This window comes from Homo sapiens, chromosome 3 (assembly GCF_000001405.40).
Source record: "Homo sapiens chromosome 3, GRCh38.p14 Primary Assembly".
Lineage (NCBI taxonomy): Eukaryota > Metazoa > Chordata > Mammalia > Primates > Hominidae > Homo > Homo sapiens.
Window position 1 is genome coordinate 65,152,189 of NC_000003.12, and position 9,438 is coordinate 65,161,626.

The following is a 9,438-nucleotide window of genomic DNA, read 5'->3' on the forward strand; positions in this document are numbered from 1 at the left end:
TTTGCACAAGGTCACGGGTTAGTGCAGAGCAAGGATGAGAACTCATGTACCTGTCCTGCATTCATTCTGGCTTCCTCCACCCCCCAAAAATGGGCAAAAACGAAAACAAACAAACAAAAACACAACTGCCTAAAATTAGGGTATTCAAGTCAAAAAAATGGAATGACAGCCAGAGCAGGTCATGTCTTTGTGGAAACCCCCGCCTCACCTCCCAGGACCGTGTCACATCTACAGGAGGTCACACTCCAGTCAGCCTGCCAAGGATCTCCAAGGTAGTTCTGTATATTAGTTTGGATTCCAACTTCTAGAGCCAAAACAACAACGAAAGGAGGACTTATTGGCTCATATAATAGGGAAGGCTAAAGTCAGTTCCTCGAAATAACTCTCTCACCTTTCCTTGGCTCCTCTCTCCTCTGGATTTCTTAATTTTGATGGTGGGTTCTCTCCATTTGGTGCCAAAAGTGGCCACTTACAATTCTGAATAGAAAAGTTTCTTAAAATCTCAGTCTGAAGACAAGTGGAACTCTTGTCTGATAATTCCAGCAAAACTCCTCGGAAAGCTCTTGATGGGCCTAATTTAATACAGGTGCCCATCCCTGAACCAAATCACTGCAATCAGGGAAAATTGATCCTGAATTGGCTTGGCCTGAGTCTTGAACGCACCCCTGGACCCTCAAAATAGAATTATCCCCATCTAGGGCTTAGGGTAGTGAGGAGGGTGGGAGTGGGAAATGGGTGGTTCTCCAAGGAAAGGAGATGGGATGCTTGGCCAACAAATACTAGACATATCCTTGATATTTCAGGCCTATAATAGGTCATTTCCTAATTGGTGAAAGCGGGATTATTTGTGTAAAGGGCATCCTCAGAGATGCACATGACACTGCTTTTCTGCTGTGAATAGCCAGAAATTGCTTACAATCCTAATTGAATCAGACCCCAGCAAAACTCGATTGTGCCACTAGAGCTGAAGTGAAATGAAATCAGCTGAATTAAAAGATTTCTATTTTACTTGCAGTTAGATGGGTCCCAAACCACTCCTAATAATGTAAATCCTGAGCCTGATACTGGCATTTAGTCTTTGTCTTTACTACAGGTAACTATAAGAAGAAAGAAATTTGGGAGGCTGAGGCAGGCGGATCACAAGGTCAGGAGATCGAGACCATCCTGGCTAACATGGTGAAACCCCATCTCTACTAAACAAAATACAAAAAATTAGCCGGGCGTGGTGGCATGTGCCTGTAGTCCCAACTACTCGGGAGGCTGAGGCAGGAGAATGGCGTGAACCCGGGAGGCGGAGCTTGCAGTGAGCCGAGATCACGCCACTGCACTCCAGCCTGGGCGACAGAGCGAGACTCCGTCTCAAAAAAAAGAAGAAAGAGCATTTGGGTGCTTATTATTAGATTTATTATGTACACCTTTAGGAAAAATAAAAGCATTCAAAAGTTCCACACATTATTATGATCCAAACATGGTATGAATCTTTTTAGCACCCAATTTTAAGGATTTTCTACAAAGACCGCAGTGGAAACTATTGTGTACAGATCATTATAATATAATTAATGGCAAATTTTTTAAGGAATATGATATTTTCAGAGCACAGAAAAACACTTAGCATCTGCTTTTGCCTTCCCTGCACCACAGGCATGGGGAATAAGGTCACATGCATATTTCAGAGCTATAGACATTTCATGTTTTCTAATTCTTGGGTTTCCAAAATAGCTCTCAAGTTTCTTCAAAGGTTTAGTTCACAAAACAGAGCTAAAATGTAATGAGAAAAGGCTGAAAGAAAACCTCTAACCCAGGGACATCAGGTGGCGTTTGAGAAGCATTTTAATGACAAAGCTGAAATCCGCATCTGTTAGCACCTTTCATAACGCCCCCTGGACAATGCACTGAATCCATTTAACTCTTGGCATCTGAGAACAAGGGATTCTCCGGGTCCAGCAACTGTTCAATGCACCCAACATAAGCCATGGAATGGCTCAGAGGGGGTAAAAACAAAACAAAATAAGCCAAAATGAAACTTCTCTCTGCTTGTCCTGCCCTGAAGGGAAAGATAACTTAATCCACGCTGGTTAAATCACAAGTGAACCATGGGTAAGGGCCCCGGGTCAATCCAGGACAAGAGAATGACATCTGTTAATGTTTGGGGATGGGATTGTTCCCTGGGCACTTTTAGAAACAATGCCAGCTCTGAAATGCTGCTGGTCACTTTTTCCCTTCAGATGTAAACCTCATTCTTCGAACTTTAATAGCAACCAAATCTCATGCACCACAGTTAACATGGCAACATATCCATTTCGTGCCTTTGCCTTGGAGAATCTTTTTTTTTTTTTTTAAGTGCAAAAGTTTCTCTACCAAGATAAGATAGAACAGATTGAAAAGTACATATGGTAAGTTAATTCAGGTATTGGATGGCCTGAGGCTTAACATTACATCTTCTCAAACCTGGTCAGTTTGGCAAATCTTCATTCTCAATTGGCTTACTGCTATACAGAGAAATCCCGGTAATCCTGAAGGACGTAAATAGTTTTCTTTTAACCATAATAAAACATCTATGAGTACCTCTGTAGGGAAAATAAACCGAGAGAATATTGTAGAACACTGCGGTTTAGACATTTCCCCGACTCCTCTAGTTTTGCTTTCAGCTCACATTTTTTTCTTTCTTAAGTTTTTTCCTCTGTTTAATTGACATATAATAATTATACAAATTTATGGGATACATAGTGTTTCAATTCATATAATGTGTAGTGATCATAACAGGGTAATTAGCATATCCATCATCTTTAATATTTATCATTTCTTTGTGTTAGGAACATTCAATATCCTCCTTCCAGCTATTTGAAACTATATATTATTGTTAACTCTAGTCATCCTACAGTGCTATAGAACACTAGAACTAATTCCTCCTAGCTAGCTGTCATTTTGCCACTTTAGCAAATGGCTCCCTTTCCCTCCCTTCCCCCTACCCTTCCCAGCCTCCAGTATTCTCTGTTCTACTTTTTGCTTCTATGAGATCAGCTTTTCTTAGCTTCCACCTATGACCAGCAGCTGACATTTTTTGAGGGCCTAATACATACCAGACATTCAGAATACAAAGATGAGCAAAAGCTCACCCACAGGTGGGAGACAAACACATCAAGAAACAGTGACAATCCATGTAACTATTGAAAACAGAGAATCAGAAGAAAGGGAAGCTAACTTAGCCAGGCTAAGGAGGCATAATTAGGAAAGGTTCATGGAGTGGGTATCCTTTGACCTTTGTGAATTAAACGAGAATTCACCAGGTGGAAAGTGGTGTTAAGTGGAGGGGCCAGAAAAAAGAGTGGGGAGTACATTATCAACTGAAGAAGACAAATGAACATTATCTCAAACCCTAACTCTAATTGATTGGGAGTGCCTTCTCAAAGTGTGGCAATGACAAAGTCTACGAAGCTATGTGGCAGGCATTACCCAAGTGCCACCATCATCCAACCCATCCTTCACTAAGTCCAACTCACCCCTGAGCTCAATTCTGGGCTCTGTGGACAGTTCTTTTGCCTTAGGGTAGCTTCCTGTTTCCACCACGTGCAACTCTCTGCTCTTCTGGCTAAGGATTTTCTGATTCCTTGGAAACCCAAGGGCAAGGCAGCCTGCAAGTACTAAGGATTTAATGCTTCCAGAGGAAAACTTTATCCAGTGAAGAAATGGGAATCACTGGGAAAATAAGCAAGCGTCCCCTTCCTTCATGGGCATTGTTCTCAGGTGCATCCTATACAAGGATCGCAGGATCCCCAGTGGGATTGAACCCATTTGTCTATAGCAGTAACTCATTCATCAACATATTGACTTCTGTCTTCCCTGTCTCATTTTCCTCACTCATTTAAACTTCCGGGAATCACCTTTCAAACACTACGCATTAGATATCTATTGCAATGTAACAAATTATCTTCAAATTTAGCAGCTTAAAACAATATACATTTATAACCTCTTGTAGTTTCTATAGGTCAGGAAATTAGGAGAAGCTTGGCTGAGAGGCTCTGGTTCTAGGACCCTCATGAGGTTGCCATCAGTTAAAGGCATGATTAGGGCTGACAGATCTACTTCCAAGATGGTTCACTCAGGTGACTGGTAAGTTGGTATTGGCTGTTAGCAGTTGGCCTTACCATGTGAGTTTCTCCACAGGGTTGCTTAAGGGTCTTCCTGACATGGCAACTGGCTTCCCCCAGAGGACACGATCCACAAGAGCAAGGCAGTAGTCATGATATCTTTTATGACTTAGCCTTGGAAGTCACACACAGTCATTTCTGCAGGACTCTATTGGTCAAACAGGCCAGCCTCATACAATATGGGATGGAACCATACAAGGGTATGGATACACGAGAGAGGCTAGGATCATTGGGGAAGATCTTGGAGGCTGGCTATCATACTTTGTCTTAGGGTTCAGCATGAAAGTTTGTCCTGTTTCATTCATGATGTCCACCATGCATGGGACATGAGGGTGCTGCCATGCATGCTAGCATGCTGAGGGTCTATTTCCCTGAAATTTCTGGATTTAATTCCCAAAACTTTCAGAGATTAAGTAGATTCTGTCCAAGACCTAAAAACTCACTTCCATTTTGGATGTAACTCTTCCAAAATTAAGCCAGTCCCAACTTCCTACTAATTTATTCTTTTAGGAGTCATGTCACTGAGAAGGACTGGGACAATACCTTTCCACTTTATTTGGAAACATTTTCAGATCCTTCAATTGTTTTTTAACAATGCCAGGCTGCTTCCATCACTAATATAAGTACAAAATCCTAAAGACATGGTTCCTTCTAATTTCTAATTTATATGCATTCTTTTGCAAAACTAGTCACTAGGAAATGGCAACAGAAAACCTAAATTACCCTTCAATATTACCATATTCATACCCACATGGGAATTCCACAGTATAAATCAGATCTAAATAAACAAGTTCTGCCCCCAGATTGCATAAGATGTATAAATGACATCAGGTAATTCAGTTTGCAGATGACAGTTCAAAGCCTTCCTCTTTGCCTTCTTGTTACAAACCTATGATAAATATGTCCAAAGTAGAAAAATTGTCAAGTGGCCAAAAGAGGTTCACCAAGGGGAAGAGTTTTGCTTGATCTATGTTTCAACCTCTCCCCGAAATAACTTGTCAATCCATAAGATGAATAATATCCTTAGTTTGCTTCCATGGAACATTTAAATGACAATCCAATTTTACAATTACATTTCCTCAGGTGTACCACCTTGGTTATATCAAGATTATATAAGCATGCAAGATTTAAGTTAGTAAATGCAGAGCAAAACATAAATATTTATGCCTATGAACACACTAAAAACAAAAATCATGAAACTCCAACTTGAAATTTCTTGTGTGCCTCCTTTTCAGTGATGAAAATACAAAAATTAGCTGGGCGTGGTGATATACACCTGTAGTCCCAGCTACTTGGGAGGCTGAGGCAGGACAACCGCTTGAACCCAGGAGGTGGAGGTTGCAATGAGCCGAGATCACACCACTGCACTCCGGCCTGGTGACAGAGCAAGACTCCATCTCAAAAAAAAAAAAAAAAAGAAATCTTGGCAGGATACTATCTTTTCATAATGTATTCTTAGGTCCAGGGGGATAGAAATAAAACATTAGCATTAGAATGTTAGAATAAAATGTGTGCATTAAATAAACAAAGATGTTTACCTGGAAAGGAACAGACTAGACCAACAAAAACCTCAACAGAATTGTTCAGGTTTAAAGCCATCTCCATTGCCAAAAGGCTCAATCTTTTGTTGATTGTCATCTTTTATTGTGACATTAGCTAGAAGAGTCAGAGGGGTTTGTGTGTGTGTGTTTGGTGGTGGCGGTGGGGGCGGGGGGTAGGTTGTTGTTTTTTACAAGGAGAGATCAATCTCTTTTTAACCATTCTCCATCTTAAGAAAAAAAGATTGCTTAAACTCTGAGAGGTATAGGATTTATTTAGGATGCCAGGGAGACAGATTTTAACTCGCTTAATCACAGTGAAATCTCACAATCTAAAATAATTACCAGTACTTGGCAGACAAACTATTATCTGTTGTAGATAATCAGTAGAGAGAACCAGGCTAGATGGTTAAGAATCTAAGACAGGCTTTTTGTTGTTGATCAAGAGGAGAATCATCAGGCCTGAATTATTCTCCCTAACTTCTTCTTTTTTTCTCTGCCAACCCAAGCTCAAAGTGAAATTACCACAGTATTTGTCTATATTTGTAGGTGAATCCCATCTCCATATGGTGTCTGTGAAGAAGTCTATTTATTTATCTAGATTATAACAGTGATATGTGATTAATATATTTTGTTTAATATATGTTTTCTGTGTGGCAAAAGAGTCTTGCTTTTTAAAAAATAAAAGAAATGGCCAGGTGCAGTGGCTCACGCCTGTAATCCCAGCACTTTGGGGGGCCAAGACAGGCGGATCATCTGAGGTCAAAAATTCCAGACCAGCCTGGCCAACATGGCGAAACCCTGTCTCTACTAAAAATACAAAAATTAGCCAGGTGTGGTGGCGGGTGCCTGTAATCTCAGCTACTCAGGAGTCTGAGGCAGGATAATAGCTTGAACCCAGGAGGCCAAGGCTGCAGGGAGCTGAGATCGTGCCACTGCACTCCAGCCTGGGCGACAGAGCGAGACTCTGCCTCAAAATAAATAAATAAACAAATAAATAAAATAACATAAAACAAAAAAGTAGTGAGTTCTGCTGAGTCATTCATCCACAAAGTCCTGAGAACAGCAATTGAGAACAGCTGGGGGAATGCCTTCATCTTTTTTTTTTTTTTTTCATTTAATAACGGCTTTGTTGAGATATAATGCACATACCATAAAATCCATCTTGTTAAAGTATACAATTCTGTGTTTTCAGCATATTCACAAAGGTGTGCAACATCACCACTATCTAATTCCAGAATATTGTCATTATCCCAAAAAGAATCCCCATGCCTGTTAGCAGCCATTCCCCACCTCCTCCTTCATCCAGCCCCTAGCAACAACTAACCCATCTCTGTCTCTATAAATTAGCCGATTCTGGACAATTCATATAAATGGAATGCTACAATATGCAGCCTTTTATGAAGGACTCCTTTCCCTTATTCAAGGTTCATCCATGTTGTAGAAGATAGAAGTATTTACTTCTTTGTTTGGCTAAGTAATACTATTGTATGTTCATACCATATTTTGTGTATCCATTCATCAATTGAGGGACATTTGTGTTGTTTCCACCTTTTGGCTGTTATTAATTCTATGAACATTCATGCAAAAGTTTTTATGTGAACATATGTTTTTAATTCTTTAGGGTCTATACCTAAAGTTGGAATTTCTGGGTCATATGGTACCTCTATCTTGAATTTGTGAGGAACTTCCAAACTGTCCTCAAAATGGTTGTACCATTTTGCATTCCCACCAGCAATGTATGAGAGTTCCAATTTCTCCACATCCTCACAACACTTGTTATTTTTGTCTTTTTGATATAGCCATCCTAATAAATGTGAAATGATATCTCATGTGGCATTGACGTACATTTCCCTAATGAATAATGATGTGGAACATCTTTTAATGTGCTTATTGGCTATTTATATATCGTTTTTGGAGGAAGATCTATTCAAATCCTTTTTCCATTTTTAAATTAGATGTTTCTTTTTATTGTTGAGTTGTAAAAAGTTCTTTAAATATTCTAGATACTAGACCCTTATCACATATGTGATTTGAAAATATATTCTCCATTATCTGGGTTGTCTTTTAATTTTATTGATGGTGTCCTTTGAAGCATAAAAGTTTTTAATTTTGATGGCATCCAATTTCTTTTTCTGTTGCTTATGCCATTGGTGTTATTTCTAAGAAACCATATCTAATCCAATGTCACAAAAAATTAATTTTGGTTCTTACATTTAAATTTATGATCTGTTGCAAATTAATTTTTGTATATCATGTGAAGTAGGGAGAACAACTTCATTCTATTGCATGTGGGTATCCAGTTGTCTCAGCATCATTTGATGAAAAGACTGCTTTTCTTATTAAATTGGCACTCTTGGCAAAAATCAATTAATTATAAATGCTAGGGTTTTTTCCTAGGCTTTTAATTCTACATTATTCATGTACTTGTCTTGTTTGTCTATCTTTATGGCAGTACTATATCATCTCGATTAATATAAATTCATAGGAAGATTCGAAATCAGAAAGTGCAAAGCCTACAACTTCATTCTGCTTTTTCAAGATTGGTTTGGTTATTCTGGGCCCCTTGCATTTCCACATGAACTTCAGGATTTGCTTTTCCATTTATGCAAAGAAGGGCAGCTTGGATTTGAAAGAGACTGCATTGAATATGTAGACCAATTTGGGGAGTATTGCCATTTTAACAGTATTAATTCTTACAATCTATAAACATGGAATGTCTTCCCACTTATTTAGGTATTTCTTAACTTCACTGAAATGGTTTTTAGTTTTCAGTGCCAAATCTCACAATTCTTTTGTGAAATTTATTCCTCCTAAGTATTTTATTCCTTTTTGTGCTATTGTAGAGAGAATTTCTTTCTTGATTTCATTTTCAATTTGTCCATTGCTGGTGTATATAACTGAGTTTTGTGTATTGATCTTGTGTCCTGCAACTTTACTGAACTTCTTTATTAACTCCAATAATTCTTTTGTGGATTCACTATGATTTTTTATATAGAATTTCTGTGGCTTTTTAGAGTCCCAGGAATATGTCAGAGCCCTTCAAAGACCCCTGCAAATGTCTCATTCCTCAGTTTTTCCATTTAAGTTTCTTGGTCAACCTCTCGTTAGCCCCAACTGGTAATGGCACCTCAGACAGCTGTAATATTAAACATTTGCTGCCAATTGTTTTCAACAAGTATCTTGAAGATAACACTATTCATACAGAGTGAGTTCTGAATCAAGTCAAATAAACACAAGCCCTGAGAATGGAGCTTTTCAGCAAGCTTTCAGACAAGCCAAATAGTGGAAATTCTCTGGGGATCAGGCTTTAGGAAAACTCCAAACCTATTTTTTCCCTTCCAGTGGCTGATAGGCTACTGGTTTTCACAGCAATCATAACTGTAATCCTGATGGTTTTCAAGGCTACTATGGCTGGGGAAGAGGAAAGAATTATAAATTTTAAAGTGCTATAAATCTAATTGTTCTTACAAAGTTTCAATTATTTTTCTTAAATAAACACTCCTCAGATTGTTGTAAGCCTTTAGTTATTTCTAGAGTTCTTCAAAAGTTGATTTTGACAGGTTTTTTGTTGGTTTGGTTGGTTGGTTTTATTTGTTTATTTGTTTGTTTGCAAGTGTTCTTATTTCTTCATTTCTTTTATGAAGAAGTGAATTTTCAGAGATCCTTAATCATTCTAGAAGTCAGCCCAATGCATTTATTTATTTATTTATTTATTTATTTATTTATTTATTGAGATTCTTACTGCAGAA

General features: G+C 38.6%; 1 annotated feature.

Moving 5' to 3' along the window:
• Positions 1,542-2,315: an enhancer, noted in NCBI's record as "OCT4-NANOG-H3K4me1 hESC enhancer chr3:65139405-65140178 (GRCh37/hg19 assembly coordinates)". NCBI's record gives its function as "activates a minimal SCP1, AML or CMV promoter by ChIP-STARR-seq in primed H9 embryonic stem cells {active_cell/tissue: H9 hESC(primed)}" and the evidence as "EXISTENCE:reporter gene assay evidence [ECO:0000049][PMID:30033119]".